This window comes from Homo sapiens, chromosome 18 (assembly GCF_000001405.40).
Source record: "Homo sapiens chromosome 18, GRCh38.p14 Primary Assembly".
NCBI classification, from domain to species: domain Eukaryota; kingdom Metazoa; phylum Chordata; class Mammalia; order Primates; family Hominidae; genus Homo; species Homo sapiens.
The window spans coordinates 14,890,935-14,908,551 of NC_000018.10; the positions used below are offsets into that span (position 1 = coordinate 14,890,935).

The following is a 17,617-nucleotide window of genomic DNA, read 5'->3' on the forward strand; positions in this document are numbered from 1 at the left end:
CTATTTTCCTTTATTACATATATCTTCCTTAAATCCTGTATTTTAATGACACACTAAATAAAGTAAAATCTCAAGAAATTTATTAAAATGATGTAAGAATTAAAATTTTAGCGTACTTTTATGCAATTTGCTATTAATTACATTTTCTACATGAAGGTATAGTGCTGAGACATTCTTTTACCTATGTCTAACACAGTGCAAAGAAAAGTCGAAGTGTCAATTATCTGTGTGATTGGGCCTTCAGAAGCTATTTTCTAAAATATTGACTTAAAGAAAAAACTAATTGTTTTGCCCCATACCTTCACTTCATTCTCTTATTTATTTTTTTGACTTCATTTTTGCTACCTGGATAATAAAATTTCTATTCATGTCATTGGGATTTAATGTAGCCCAGCTAATATTTCTCATTTGCCTCACATATATGTTGCATATAAAGCCCTGTTCCCAATATACTATACTTAACACTAGTCAGAGCTCATCCAGTTGAGAGTTTCACAGCTACTCATCCAGAAATTGGGTTTAAGAAAATGTAAATGAATGGATATTAATCTTTTTATATATTTATTAAGCATTATCACAATGCATACAACCCTACTGTGGTTTTAGGACACAAATTAAGAAAAACAGCCCTGGTTTCTGACACCAGAAGTTAAAACCTAATAGAAACAGCAAACACGTCCATATATTTTGGAGAATTTTGAAGAACACAGGCCTGAATAGGCTAGAGAAAATTTTAATAATTGCTTACAAGCACATGAAGGATTATGATGTTGATGCATTCATGTAATGTTCAACAGATCTTCACTGAGAGCCAATTCTATGCTAGGCTCAATTCACAGACAAGCCTTGCCCTTTTAGAGCACTCTATTTGGTAACTACAGCTTCATTGCATTAAAGGAAGCACAAAGGGAAATAACATGCAGAAGAATACTATTAGGTTAAATTTGTACTAATACAATGAAAAATACTGAATAAATTCATTGATTCAGCATATTTGCAATACCTCCAAAATGGAATAAATGTATCAGTTAGGTTGGTGCAAAAGTAATTGTGGCTTTTGCCATTACTTTTATGACAAAAACTGTAATTACCTTTGCACCAAACTAATATTTAAAAGACAAATGGAGTAGTTGGTTTCTAAAGGTCTTAGCATTGTAAAATATCATTAAGAAGTCAATATTTTCTTTTCCTTCAAGTCTCTTTACTCCTGCCATTCCTCCCTTTATTTAATATATTTTCTTTTAGATAAAAAGAGAATGCTGATGCACAAGCTTAGAGTGTCTTTCATGATCAGTTATTAGGGACTGGAATCTGTAATATTTGCTGGCTTTTCTTTTACAGAACAATTGTAAAACATAAATGTTGACTGATAGAGTTATTATTAATTATGATAGGCAGACATCTTCCCTTTTTGGTCCTGTCATGACAATAAGTTCATATTGTCCCACTCCCAAAACATTTTCCTCTATCCCCTGCCTGTCTATTGCCCACTATTTCTTTACTGCACTTTACAAGAGGTGATGGCTGGATGTGGTAGCTCACACCTGTAATCCCAGCACTTTGGGAGGCTGAGTCAGGCAGATCACTTGAGGTCAGGAGTTCAATACTAACCTGGCCAACATGGCGAAACCCCGTTTCTACTAAAAATACAAAAAATTATCCGGGTGTGGTGGTGGGTGCCTGTAATCCCAGATACTCAGGAGGCTGAGGCAGGAGACTTGCTTGAACCCAGAAGGTGGAGGCTGCAGTGAGCCAAAACGGTGCCACTGCCCTCTAGCCTAGGCAACAGAGTGAGACTCTGTTTCACCAAAAAAAAAAAAAAAAAAAAAAAAAATTAGTTGGGCATGGTGGTGAATTCCTATAATTCTAGCTACTTGAGAGGCTGAGGCAGGAGAATCACTTGAACTTGGGAGGCAGAGGTTGCAATGAGCCAAGGTCACACCACAGCACTCCAGTCAGGGTGGAGTGAGGCTCTGTCTCAAAATAATAGATAAATAAATAAATAAAAATAAGGTGGTGAACATTTTTAATCTTATCCCTCCACATATTAGGGTTAAGGATACCAAAAATTCTTTGTAAAGATTCTACGTTTAGCTGAGATGAGAATATACTTATATTCTTAATTGCTTGACATATTTAAAAAACACCATTCACACTGGGAAATAACATATCTAAAAGACAATTGCTTGGGGAGAGCATTAAGCAGTATTGGCAGAATCAGTACCTTATCAACCCTATTTTCTAGTCTATTTTGTTCCATATCCTACGACCCTCTTTTATTCAAGAAAAGCTCAAGAATAAAGCAATTAACATTATCACTCTTTTGTTCAGTTGCAGTGTGGGGAGTGATGTTCCTTTCAATAGGCACAAATATTTATAGAAGTGTTAACTATGGGCTGGGCGCAGTGGCTCACGCCTGTAATCCCAGCACTTTGGGAGGCCAACGCAGGCGGATCACCTGAGGTCAGGAGTTCAAGACCAGCCTGGCAAATATGGTGAAACCCCATCTCTACTAAAAATACAAAAATTAGCCAGGCATGATGGTGGCTGTCTGTAATCCCAGTTACTCGGGAGGCTGAGTCAGGAGAATCATTTGAACCTGGGATGCGGAGGTTGCAGTGAGCCGAGATTTCACCATTGCACTCCAGCCTGGACAACAAGAGCTAGACTCCATCTCACAAAAAAAAAAAAAAGTATTAACTATGAAATCCTACCCTCCAAATCAGAAGCCACGAAGTTGCTCAGAAAGCATAATAGAAAAATATGTAATATGCAGATATTAAGTTAGTTAACAATATAAGTTAATTATACTTGGTCTTTTTGTCTACAGTGTATCCGTTGCCTCACATAAAACAAATAGAAGAGGCTGTCTTTCTTTGTGGATTTCCATTTGTGCTTAAGAGAAGTTTGTTCACATAAGTAGCACTCAGTAAATTTATTCCCAAAGATTTAAAGCATATTACATAGATGCATCAAATTGTTAACATAATGTCCATGATAGCATAATGGTAGAGTTCAAAAATATAAATAAAAGAGAGAGAGAGAATCAGCTCTTGCAATAGAACATGAAAAACCAGGCAATATGTCAAGCACATTGACCATTTAGCCTTGCCAGCAATATTGTCAACAATAGCATAAATTTATTATTTAGGATGTCACCCTTACACACTAGAGACTATGCCCTAAATAGCTTCCCTATTGTTTATCGTCTGGTTCAATAATTCATGAATTTATCTAAACTTTTTTTTCTGTTTATTATTTAAACCTGTATCACACTTGGAATGAAAAGTGGGGAACTTTGATCTAAATTGCAATTACTTTTTTAAAAAATTATCTGAAATCTTTCAGAATTTTAGGTGTCCCTCTAATCTTGTATTTCAGAAATTGATACTAATTCTTTTTTAATTACCAATAGCTTTGTGATTTTAAAGTGCTTTAACTTTTCTGTTTTAAAAATTACTTTTTAGTGTCTCACTACACAGAATCCATGCCCACCAATCTCAGCATCATTAATATTTCTTTTTCCTGAAACTGTTAAAGCTTTATGTTTAAAGTTTTGAAGGGGTATATATTAATATGGCTGTGCTAGCATGATAACTAAATATTATTTTCAAGTTGCAAAAAAAAGTGGAGGCAGTGGTTTGATATTTAGCCAATCAGAACATTTAATCTTGTCCTTGATCAAGTATACCCTCTTCGGCATGTTAAAACTAAGAACTAGTATCAACAAAGAAAAAAACATTTAAATTTAAATACATTTTATGATTTTCTGTCAAGCCTGGATTGTTGAGTGGGAAATCTTAACCATTATATATTTATATTATGTTTAAGGCTATAGATTCCATTCATTTTACGTCACTAAAATACACCAACATATACATATATGCAAAAAATATATCAATATATCCAACATATACAAAAAACACTGAAAACACAACAATAAGAAAAAAACCTAGTTAAAAAGTGGGCAAAATCTGGACACATCACTAAAGATACACAAAGGGCAAATAAGCAGATGAAAAGATGCTCAATATCATAGATCATCAAGGAATTACAACATGGATGCAGCCGGAGGCCATTATCCTAAGCAAATTAACACAGGAACAGAAAACTAACTACTGCATGTTTTCACTTATAAGTGGGAGCTAAACACTGGGTACTTAGGGACATAAAGATGGCAACAACTGACACTGGGGACTACTGGCGGGTAGTAGATGAGGGAAGGGTTGAAAAACCATTAGGTACTATGCTCAGTACCTGGGTGATGGGAGCAATCATACCTCAAACCTCAGTATCACACAATATACCCAGGTAAAGACCTGCACATGTACCCCCTGAATCTAAAATAAAAGTTGAAATTATTTAAAAAGGAATCGCAAATTAAAACAACAATGAGATACCTCTATACAACTATTAGCATGACTAAACTCCAGAAAACTGACAGTGCTGTACGCTGGCAAGGATGCAAAGCAACCAAAACTCTTTCATTACTAGTGGGAATGCAAAATGGTGCAGTCACATGGGAAGACAATTTGGCAGTTTCTTAAAAACTGAATATGCTATATAATCCAGCAGTCATGCCCCCAGGTATTTGCCCAATTGAATTGAAAACTTATGTCCACACAAAAACCTGAACATGACTATTTATAGAAGCTTTATTCGTATCATCAAAAACCAGATGCAACCAACATATCCAATAGGTAAATGGATAAACAAACTATGGTACACGTATACATTGGAATATTATTTAGCAATAAAAAGGTATTGAGCTGTGAAGCCACAAAAAGACAAGGGGAACCTTAAGTACATATTGCTAAGTGAAAGAAACCAGTCTGAAAAAGCCACATACTGTATGATTCCAGCCATATGACATTCTGGCAAAGGCAAAACTTTAGAGATAGTAAGATCAGTGGTTGCAAGGGCCTTGAGGAGAGGAGAAAAAGGATGAAAAGCTGAATCACAGGGGATTTTTAAATCAGTGAAACTATTCTGCTTAATACTGTAATAGTGGATACACGATATACATTTGTCAGAACTCATAGAACTATACAAAGCAAAGCGTGGACCTTAGTATAAACTGATGGTATAAATAAATATTGGCTCATCTATTGTGATAAATGTGCCACATTAATGCTAGATATTTATAATGGAGGAACTGTGGGGGGAAATGGAGATTGTTTATGGGACTCTATTATCTGCTCATTTTTTTTTTTTTTTGAGGCACTCTCACTCTGTCGCCCAGGCTGGAGTGCAGTGGCGTGATCTCGGTTCACTGCAAGCTCCGCCTCCCAGGTTTGTGCCATTTCCCTGCCTCAGCCTCCCGAATAGCTGGGACTACAGGCACCCGCCACCACGCCCAGCTACTTTTTTGTATTTTTAGTAGAGACGAGGTTTCACCGTGTTAGCCAGGATGGTCTCGATCTCCTGACCTTGTGATCTGCCCACCTCGGCCTCCCAAAGTGCTGGGATTATAGGGGTGAGCCACCGCGCCCGGCCTATCTGCTCAATTATTTTTTTAAATCTAAAAATGTTCTAAAATACAAATTCTACTAATTTTTAAATGCAGCTGACTTTAATAATATAATATCATTGAGTGTAGAGAAACTATTTGTACCGACATTTTACATTATTTATTTATGTCCCAAATATATAGAACATATGGGATTTGTTATTAATTACTATTAAAAATGTCTTTGGTAATGGATTAAGATCTTCTTCCCCAATGGATAACTTCTTTTTGTGAAATATGGACAGTAAGGAGGAGTAAGGTCATAATAAAAACACACTTTGGAGATTGTAGGCTACAAATGCTGGATATGCAGACCACTGTTTCACTTGTTAAGTGGACAGTATCTCTCAAGTGTTTGGGAATGGAAAACAAGAGCCAGTAATATTTTAGAAACTTGATCTGATTACTTTAATTATGATATCCTATCTGGATATTAATAAATATATACAAAAATTCAGTTAGTATTTTTTCTTTCCACAGAAAAAATAAAATGAGTGCTACCTAGCAGTATATGCCAATTGCAAAAAAAAAAAAAAAACAGGAAAATAAATAGGAATTCAGAAGAAAGAAGTGGCCAAGGGAGGATGTGAGGAATAGATAGAGCTTGAATTAGATCTTGATGGATGAATAGAGTTGACATAGGTAGAAAAGATGGAAACATGCTAATCGAGAGATAAAAGTACTATGTGCAAGGCCATGGAAGCAAAGATTCAAACGTCGTGTTCAGAAGATTGAAACTAGAGCTGTATATCTGGAATAGGAAGTGTAACAAAATAGTGAGAGGGTGGAAAAAGAGTCAGGGCCAAATTGTCAAGGGTCTTGAACCTCCCAGGTTCAAGCAGTTCTTGTTCCTCAGCCTCCCCTGTAGCTGCAATTACAGGCATGCACCACCACGCGCGCCTAATTTTTGTAATTTTAGTAGAGACCCGGTTTTGCCATGTTGGCCAGGCTGGTCTCAAACTCCTGACCTCAGGTCATTCACCTGCCTCAGCCTCCCAAAGTGTTGGGATTACAGGTATGAGCCACCATGCCCGCCCCTAGCTGTAAATTTTCTGCAAATTGTGTACATTCTTGGGAATTGTTACAAAGTAAAAAAAATCAAATTGATTTTAGATGTTATGAAAAAAATTAATAAATTTAATAAATAAAGTTAGCATAATATTTTTTTGGTTAAATATCTGCTAATCTGTATATTTTATTTTCAAATTTTACTGTCACTATCAATATTAAAGTTTAAATACATTTGCAAGCCTTTGAAATTTTCACAGGCTCCCATCTCTGTGCCTATAGGTCAAATGAATAAAATGTCCCTGCCCTTAACTCTGAAATCTTTTCAAAGGACTACCCTAGTTCCTTTGCACTAGCACCAACTTTCTTGAACATGCAGCCAGAATCTGCTCATTTTTCTTCAATTTAACTTTTGCATCCTAACTTCTAATCTCTTTATTGGCGTTCTCTCTTCAAGCTCATGAATAAACTCCTAATTGCCAAATCCAAGAGTTCTTTCAGTAACGCTTTATTTTATGCACTATTAGGCTCACTTCACACTTCTTCTTCTATTCCTAATTCTCATGTTTCACTAATCGTGCACTACCGGAGTGCAGGGTGAAAAAATTAATCAAGCTGATCAGTTTTTGTGTAACCAATTCTATAGATCTTTTGTGATAATTTATTATATTGTATCTATGCTTAAAAGTATGTTTTCCATACCATTGTCTGAAATATAGTTTATTCTAACTTTTATAGTTTGAATTTTAAATATAAATTCAAATTATCTTAAATTCATCTGGAATTAATTCTGGGGTATGGTGTGAGACGATACTCTAAACCAGCAGTCAGGGGATGGCAGCCGGGGGGAGGTTCAGGATGAAACTGTTCCACTTCAAATCGTCAGGCATTAGTGAGATTTTCATAAGGAGCGCAAAACCTAGATCCCTGGCATACGCAGTTTCACAATAGGGTTCACGCCCCTATGAGATTCTAATGCCACAGCTAATCTGACAGGAGGTGGAATGCTTGCTTACCCACCACTCACCTCCTGCTCTGCGGCCTAGTTCCTAACAGGCCACGGACCAGTACCAGTCCCCAGCCCAGGGGTTGGGGACTCCTGCCGCAAACTGGTATTTTATTCCTTCAAATAGCTATCTAGTTTTTTCAACATTATTTATTAAACATTCGATTCCTTTTTTACTGATGCCTCTCTTTTACCTTTTATTGACTCTTTTGTCCCATTGATTTACCTGTCTGTCAGCTCTATAATCTCATTAATTGTAGGTTACCAGTTTTCAGGTGGTTCATTACATTTACAAGTAGCTCTGATTGTGTTACCAATTATATGTGAATATATCCTCTGAAGCTATGCAGAATAAATCAATACCATTTCCACATAACAGCCCTTGAAAGAGGTGAAGACATTGATCATGCTTCCCATTATCCTTAGTTTCTTTGGCCCTTTCTCATACAGTATGAATTCCAGACTCTTTACCAGCTACATTATTTACTTAAAATAAGTATCTCAGCAAGAACTGGACTGATATAGATAGCCTAAGACAGAATATTGTTCATTATTTTCCTTGATATAGACCATAAACGTATTTTACAGTAATATCATCTCACCATCTCCTTAAAAATATTTTTAATCTTGTCATTATTTTAGAGTTTGAATATAATAAAAAATTTGCCTATCAAAAATAAATTTTGTTTTAGGTTAGTATATTTTTCAAGGTTATATTATAAAGTTTGTTTAAATATGTTTTATATATAAAGGCAAATGTCAACTGTTCCCCTTCAACAAATGATGAATGTTCTTCATTTTCTTTAAATTAATTATGTTTTTAAAAACCTCATGATTTTTGAAAAAATAAATTTTAAAATGACCTCATATAGCATGTGTAGAATTAAAAGTTAGTTAAATAAATATATGTTGAAATATAAATGTTTTAACATCAAAGATGACAAAATCTAGTTTTGGGATCTAATCATTAAAATTCTTTCTATGCTTTAAAAAAATTAGCTCACTTATTTTTACAATTTATTTGGTTTCTAAATGTTGAAATAAGAGAAATAGTTTTATTCTTCTATTTGCAAATAGTGCTCCATAAATAAAACATTGCAGGGGTAGAGAGTCATTATACCCCTCCAAAACATGCGACCAACTCCAATATGATTGTCACAATATTTTCTGTAACATACAAAGTTATTTAACAAGTATTTATTGAGTGTTTATTGCCAGACCCATTCTTGGCACTAGGACTGTAGTGACCTGAAGAAAATTATCTAAAAGTTAACTGTAAATTGTCAAATATACATCAATTTAAAAAATAAAAGCAAATTTTGGAGTTATTTTATGCTTCTAATAACTTATATTTAACTCATTGTTCTTTATACTTTCTCGTTAACCAATGGTTTGTTAAGGTTATAAATTTAGCAGCATATGACAATGAATGAACTTATTTACATAATAGTGAACATCATTGTGACTTCATTAAATGACGAACGGATGAGTTAACTAAACTGTGAGTAAATCTATCTCATCTTTCTAAATTCCAGGCATTCATATTTGATGTGTTTGTGGAGGCACTCAAACCATTCTTTTCTAAATTGAAAAAATACAATTTTTTAAAAAATATTAAGTTGAAAAAAGATTACAGTATGCCTTTAGTTAAATTAATCCCCCAAGTACCTTTGGAAACATTTCAGTGGTCCACATACAATTGCTTAAGAAATGGTGAGTTTTAATTCAGCCACTTTAATTCTGTTTATAATTTGGCATGGAATAAATCACAAATAAGTGATACATGAGTATATTAAAATTTATGGTACCCAAAAACTTAGATACTCCTTTCTCTTATTTGTCATTGGCAAATTTGGGAAATGTCTTCATCTATAATGTCATGTAACTTTTCCATCTACTATTTATCATTGCATCTGTGCTTTTTTTCTACCCATTTGAAGTTACACGTTTTGATTCTGGCCCTTTTCTTATGAGGCATAATAAGCTTTCTATTCTCTTCTTGTCATATCTTTGCCCCTTAAGTCTTCAAGCTTATGACGGTATAATGTCATTCATTATGATGTTCATTCCTTCAATCATATGTAGGCATTTTTCTCCCCAACTTACTGAGCAAAGACTTTTAATCATTCCCAACTTTTATTCTCTCCTTTTTCCATGGCAATAGAATTTTTAGCTGACTGCACAAAATAAACTTTCCATTTCCCAGTCTTTGTTACAGCTTAATGTGGCCATGTGACCAAGTTTTAGCTGATGTGATTTAACTGAAATGTCCTATGGCAACTTCCAAAAGTCTTCCATAAAAGGTAGCCAGCAGAAGCCCTTTGTGCTCACTTTTAATCCCTTTATTCCACCTTCCTGCTGGAATTTGGATTCTACCTTGAGTTATGAGAACAAAGAGATTATGGAACGGTGAGCTAAATGGAACTGGAAACTTCCAGATGTTTTTGTGGAGCAGAGTTCTCACTCTTCCAGATGTTTATTGCATGGAGAAATAAATAATTTTTTAAGCCAAACTGAATCTTAACTAATGCACCCCAATTTCATTTTACTTCAAATGCATTCTTCATAAAATGTACATAAAACTCCAGGAGCCTATTTTTTCAGTTATTCTAAGCTGAATAACTAAATAACCACTGAAAGAGTGGAGGGGATGTTGCTTGGCATTCACAGGTTTTTGTTAGCCATAGAAATAATCAAATTTCCTTGTCAATTGTGTCTTTAACCATGGCTATTCTGTCTTTTGTCATTCATAGACAATATCGCTTTACTTTGATTCATTTCAAAAAGTGGTTTATAGTTGGCTACAGCCAAAAATTTACTTCTTTTACAAGAAAATTCATGAAAAAGACCATAACAAGTATTCTTGAATGTAGGTTTTTGATAATTTTGGAGATTATACCATTGGATTAGGTAAAAACTTACAAAACTCTAATAAACAAATGAATGAGTTCATGAAGATTACTAACCCAACATCAAGTAGAACAAAATTAATTACATGAGACTGAACTGATGAAAGACCAAAACAATTTTTGTAACTTCTTTTTATTTGAAATATTGCTGATTCTTTTTATTTTTTGCTTTTCAGAGTCAAGACAAAGTTTTTTTTTTTTCTTCCTTTCTTTTAAGCTATTTACAGCTTACAGCAATTGGGTAAAATATATTGTTGTGAGCAAAATGGGAACATTTACCTTTCTTTCTACCTGATCCCTACAGAATTTGAAAACTATTCGTGGGTATTTGTATTTTATGTCAATATATTATTAGCATAACTTCAATAAGAATTTGCTCTCTTTGTGATAGGGCAATTAGGAGTATAGCTTCCATTACCAAAGCTTTGATTGAGATGTCATATTTTCAGATTGACCAGATTGCTTTGAGGAACTAAGAAGCTGTTAAACCTTTGGAAGAACTGGCCTGATACGTTGTCTACATGGTTCTCCTACAAGGTGCATGAGTCCATTTTTATGCCGCTGATAAAGACATACCTGCAACTAGGAAGAAAAAGTTTAATTGGACTTACAGTTCCACATGGCTGGAGAGGCCTCAGAATCATGGCAGGAGGCAAAAGGCACTTCTTACATGGTGGCACCAAGGAAAAATGAGGATGATGAAAAAGTGAAAACTCCTGAAAAAATCAGATTTTGTGAGACTTATTCACTACCACGAGAACAGTATGGAGGAAACCGCTCCCATGATTCAAATTATTTCCAACCCGGTCCCTGCCACCCCCTCCCCACAACATATGGGAATTACGGGAGTACAATTCAAGAAGATTTAGGTGGGGACACAAAGCCAAACCATATTACAAGGTTTATAGGCTTGCAGTAAGTAAAGAATACCATTTTCTGACAAGCCCAGGAACTTCAGGATATTTGGGGGACCTCAAAAAAGAGGGATTTACCCAATTCATACAAGTATTACAGGCAAAATCTGAGGGTGAATTGTTGGCCCGGCTTCCAATCTTAAGAGGCTTTTAAAGATTGAACCTGAAATTCCTTATAAAAAAAAGTTTCAGTCAAGTCAATTTAAAAAGTGCTTACATGGCCAAGTACTATTCTGGCTGTACTTTAGTCAAATAATCAGGCCAAGTATAACAAGTCTAAAACTTTATTTTGCAAATAAATTGGTCCTACTCTCCTGCAGGGAGCTGTCCTCCTCCTTTCACCTGTTAAACGTCCACTCTCAACCTCACTCTCCATGTGTCTGTATCCTTTAGTTCCTCAGCCGTGAGACAATGATCCCAGGGTACCGCCCCAGACAATGAGGCCATTTCACTTGCACACTCACTTGTACACTCGATTTGTCCCACTCTAGGCCCCCTACTAGGTACCTTGGGTAAGTAATACAGCATATTTTTCTCCTATGTTTTCTTAAAATAAGTAATGGGGATACTAGAAGCTGCAATCTCAGTTATGCCAACAATTATGGAATCCATGGGAAGCACTTGTTACAGGACTTGGACCTGGTGAGCATCTGTATTTTTTCTGTGGCTGCTGTAACAAATTACTACCAACTTGGTGATTTAAAACAATTCACACAGTAGAGATGGCCTGAGTTCAAAGCACTTTCACGGGGCTAAAATCGAGGTATTTTGGGAGAGCTGCACTCCTTCTGGAGGCTCTTGGGGAGCACCAGCCCTTGGCTCTCCTGACTTCAGGTGGCTGCCAGCACTCCTTGGCTGCAGTGGCCTCACTGCAATCTCTGTCTCTGTAGTCATGCAGGGGCCAAGGCAACACTTCCCCTTCACCCTCTGAAGGCTTGCTAGTAAATAAACTGACAAAAGGCAGATTAATTGGAGGAAAGGCGTGAACATTTATTAATAGGTGCCTGGGGGAGAGCCACAGAGTGATTGTCCCATATTCCAATGGGGCCCAGATACTTGTATAGCCCTATTTCAGAGGGGAAGAGGAGATGGGAATGTAGGTAATTACAGGATGATAAATGATTACTGAAGAGAATAAATAGATCAGGGAACAGGAATTCACTTGTAAATCATGCTCTTTGAAAATTGACTGAGACTGAGAGATAGATATTGTCTTGTGAAAGTCTGTGCTGGCATGGTTACACTCTTGTTCCTGTTTTCTGTAATAGATAATGAGCTAACAGGGAGAGGAAGGAAAGACAATTGTTCTCCTTGGATACTCCCTCTGGTCTCTATGTAGACAGAGAACGTTCTCCTCCAGCCTCTGTTGATCTCTGAAGGTCTTTAATTCAAAATGCACGTTACATCAGGGACCACTATTTTGGGGTAAAGTTCTCTGCACTCCTTCAGTTTCACATCTTCTGCCGGTTAAGCCACCCTCTGTCTCTCTCCTATAGTAGCACTTGTGATTCCATTTAAGGTACACCTGGAAAATCAGAGCTATTGCTCCACCACAGAATCCTTAAGCACATTCCCAAAGACCCTTTTTCTACATCGAGGAACAACTACACATTCCAGAGATTAGGACCAGATACCTGTGTAAGCTATTATTTAGCTCACCACTACATTTGATATATACTTGTCCCTGGCCCCCAATCATTAGATTATAAAGAAGGGCTGTCCAATTGTCATCTGTCTTCACTGTGGTTCCAACCCCAGAGCTCCATTGTTATTAACACCTGTATAATCCTGAGCCCCAACATGGTTTCATCCACCCACAGCAGGGCAGACCTCATCACATGGGCCATGGGGCATTGACCTACTGTGTTTATCGGTGATCAGTTCTCTTCCCATGATCTGGCCTAAAGTTTCTGGAAAACAGTTTCTATGCATAATTATCCCAGCTGGATATTACAGAGCTATAAAAGGCAGAGGTCCTGTCCTGGCCGTGTGTCTAAGCTAGAGAAACATTTATTTCAGGTTATTCTGAGGCTTGATGGGAATGAGCCTGGCTCCTGGTCTAACCTAATAGTAAACATGTTCCCACAGCCAGGCTCTGAGTACTCCTTGGGGCCTGAGCTAACCTCAGTTTTGGGGGACTGTTCTATTTTGTGAGTCACTTTACCAGGCACACAGGATCTGAACTTCTTTTCTCCTCTCTTCTTTCCCTCTCTTCCTCATTCTCCCTCTCCTCTCTCACTCCATTGATCTTTTTCTATTCCTCAACTCCCCATTTGCTGTCCTCTACTTTGATTTCCTCATTCTCCCTCATGTCTATATATCCATTTACAGCTTAATCCCCCCCATCTCATCTGATTCCTCTGTTGATGAAAAAGCCAAACTCTGTAAAATATTTAGAGATTTATTCTTAACCAATATGAGTGACCATGGTCAAGGGAACAGTTTTAGAAGGTCTGGAGAAAGTGAGGTGGTTGGATTACAGCTTGGTTTATACTTTTTATGGAGACAAAAGTTACAGGCAAAGACATAAATCAATACATGTGTCAGAGGCTTTTGAATCAGAGAGACTCCATCTTGAATAGGGGCATGGTAAAATAAGGGTGAGACCTACTGGGCTGCATTCCCAGGAGGTTAGGCATTCTTAAACTCACAAGATGAGATAGGAGGTTGGCATGAGATGCAGGTCATGCAGACCTTGCTGATAACACAGGTTGCAGTAGAGAAGCTGGTCAAGACCCCCGAAAACCAAGATGGCAACGAGAGTGATTTCTGGTCTTCTTCACTGCTACACTCCCACTAGCACCAGGACAGTTTACAAATGCCATGGCAATATCAGGAAGTTACCCTATATGGTCTAAAATGGGAGTCATGAATAATCCACCCCTTGTTTAGTATATCATCCAGAAATAACCACAAAAATGGGCAAACAGCAGCCCTTGAAGCTGCCCTGCCTATGATGTAGCTATTCTCTATTCCTTTACCTTCACTTTACTGTATGGACTCACCCTGAATTCTTTCTTGCACAAGTCCAAGAGTCCTCCCTTGGGGTCTGGATCCTGACCTCTTTCCAGTAACACATGTAAGGTATACATTGGTTGGCCCAAAGTTGTGGAATATTTCAAAGTGGGGACTTACAGGTAATAGGTGAATTCAAGGATTTTCTGATCAGCACTTGGTTGAAAGAATTTAGCTTTGTCTAAAGACAGTAGAAAGAAATGCTTGAGTTAAGAAAAGGAAGGTTATGGAAGCCAAGGTTCTTGTTATGTAGATGAAGCCTCTAGGTAGTATTCTTCAGAGAGAATAGATGGTCAATGTCTCTTTTCAGATTTTAAATAGAGTCCAACTCAGTTAAATCTCCTCTAGACCTGGCAAAGACCTAGAAAGGGAAAGAGATTCTAAAGATGCAAAATTTTACCCCACAAAAGGCTTTGCAGGGCCATTTCAACATATGTCAGATAAATATATTTTGAAGTAAAGTGTGTTAATTTCTTTCAGGGTCTGCTGTCATGTGATGCTATACCAGAGTCAAGCTGGAATTTGGCATCTTAGTGCCAAAGGGTCTGTTTCATCCATGAAGGGATGTCTATTTTAATGTTAATGCTGGTAAGTTTTGCCTAAACTCCAAAAAAAGAAGGGGTATAATGAGGCATGTCTGACCTGTCTTCCTTTCATGGCCTGGAATTCAGTTTTTTGGGTTTCTTTATGATTTGCTTGGCCCTGAAGGTGGTTCCATTCATTCGGTCTGTTAGAGGGCTTAGAGATTTTTTTTTTTTGGTTTACACCTCAGACTCAATTCAAGTCAGCAAATACTTTTAGCCCAAAGTATATGCCACACATTGTTTAAAGTGGCATAAAGAACAGATGGTATGCCTGGCATGGTCCTGATCTGGAAGGACCTAACCTCTTCCTGCCTCTTCCTGGAATCTGTCTCTGCTTTTCAAATGCCTGCCAGTCTCTGCCTCTCCCTTCCACTCTATGTCCTGATTTCCTGTGTTCTCCTGTCACTTTCTCTTGTGTTCTCTGTCCTCTCTCTTTTGTTGTAAAATGGCATCAAAATCTTATAATAAAAATCTATCTCCCATGTTTCTTGAATGACTCTCTACCAATCTCATTATGTTTGTTATAGATGAATATAATATGAGTGATTTTAAAAATATTATTTTATTAAATAAATTATGAAAAGTACACAGCAAGGCCTGGGATTGATATGCTCATTTTCAGCCTCAATATTAAATCTCTGGACTGCACAAATGATTACACATTGAACTAAATGTATGGTTTTATCTTTTGTGCATATAAAGAAAAGTCTTTCATATTATACAATTTGTACCACTTTCTCTTTTTTTTGCACACACACTTCTCCAGCTCCATTGCCAAACCTCAGCTGTCAATTCTGTTTAGTCCCATTGATGAAAAGAACCAAATTCTAAAATATTTGAAGAGATTCATTCTGAACCATATAGGAGTGACCATGGCCCATGACACAGCCCTCAGGAGATCTTGAGAACGTGTGCTCAAGGTGGTTGGGGTGTGGCTTGGTTTTATACATTTTAGGGAGACATGAGACTTCAATCACACACATTTAAGAAGTACATTGGTTTGGTCAAGGAAGGTGAAGTGTGAGGAGGGTGGGGGGTTGGGTGGCGGTGGGGGTCCAGGTTATAGGTAGATTCAAAAATTTTCTGACTGGCTATTGGTTAAGTTCATATAAAGACCTGCGATCAATAGAAAGGAAATGTCTCAGTTAAGATAAGGAATTATGGAGGTCAAAGTTCTTATTATGAAGATGAAGGCTTCAGGCAGTAGGCTTTAGAGAGAATAGATTGTAAGTGTTTCTTATCAGACTTATGGTCTGTGTTGATGTTAATGCTGGAGAGTATAATGAGGCAGGTCCGACCCCCACTCCCTGTCATGGCCTGAACCAGTTTCTCATGTTAAATTTTAAGAGTGCCCTGGCCTAGGAGGAATTCTATTCAGATAACTAGGGAACCTTAGAATTTTATTTTTGGTTTATATTCCAAACTCAATTTTACTGAAAAAAAAAAGACATCAAATGATAGGGTCATTGTATTAACACTGAATAGGTCTAATTTCTTTCATTGCTGGTTTGTTGTGCCTGTGGAATAAGAAAGTGGGTCTGAGATTGTGTTTGGTGGTGCTGGTGTCAGGCCCTGGGCAGTGATGTCCCACCCGGGCCTGGAGACACTGAGCATCCCAGGGAGAGGGCGTAGGAGCGGCTTAACAGAGGTCCTGAGCAGAAGATGGGCTGGCGTCTGTGCTGAGGCATGGACACGGCCTCCTCTGGGTCAGACTTTGACAAAGATGCACTGAAATTAGCACAGCCCTTATGTGGGTCTTGGGAGGCCGAGGCTGTCTGATTGATGGATCAGCATGTCCCGGATGTAGCTGTTTGGACAGAGAAGACACTGCGTCCTGTCCACTGGCCTCCCAAGCGTCCTGGCAGGATTCTCATCTGGGTACCCTTCCAGATCTGGCTTCCCCCTACCTCACAGTTACTGAACCCCTTTCTTTTTTCCAAACTGACACTCTGCCAAACTCCAGGCTCTCCCAGAGCCATCATTTCATCTCTCTACACTCTGCACATGGGTATCTCTGCCTAGACTCCTTTGTAGAAAAGTTTGAATTTTCCCCAGAAGGTTTCATAATTTGAGATACATTAACAGAAAAAAAAGGCAGACAAATTTTATCATATGCATATACGTGCGCAGGAGTCATATAAAATGGACAGATGGTTGATGCTTTTATACCATTTTGAGCATACAGAAATAATTGGGGGTTTGCAGCATGACCGAAAACAGGTATGTTGGCAAGACAGGTTAATGGGAATAAGCAAAGAGGAGGCATGGCTAGCAGAGGTGTTTTGGTTGTATGAAGCCTCACAGGTAGGCAATCCTCAGAGAAAATAGTAAATGGATCTTTAAGACCATTAAAGGTGTCAGACTCACAGTTCATCTTTCCTAGGATCCCTGCAAGTGCCTCAGGGAAAGCCTGAATGCCTCCGCTGTTTACTTCACTTTAACTCCTCTACAGATGCAACTCCCCTCCACAAATGACAGCTGTGCGGGACTCTTTCTGTCTGCAGGCCCTCTCATCAGCCAACTCAACATATTTGGCTTCCTTCACCTCTTTGACCTTTGGCTGCCTGTAGAACATCTCCTAATTCTTGGAGGTCACTGTCTCATGAAACTCCCTCAGCATCCGAGGAGATGTGATCTGCAGCCACTCTGCGCCTCACTGTGCCTGCCAGCCC

The 17,617-nt window shown here is 37.7% G+C and overlaps 1 protein-coding gene across 3 annotated transcripts in view; it reads left to right on the forward strand.

The window, feature by feature from the left end:
- Positions 1-17,617, forward strand: part of ANKRD30B (ankyrin repeat domain 30B) — a 192,964-nt gene that overhangs the window by 142,763 nt on the left and 32,584 nt on the right. For 2 of the 3 annotated variants that reach the window (XR_007066152.1, XR_935057.3), the window contains one exon: positions 10,882-11,061. The gene's annotated coding sequence lies outside the window, so the exon portion shown is untranslated. Of the gene's footprint in view, positions 1-10,881; positions 11,062-14,841; positions 14,950-17,617 lie in introns of those variants that run through there. The other variant, XR_007066151.1, reaches the window with a different exon arrangement.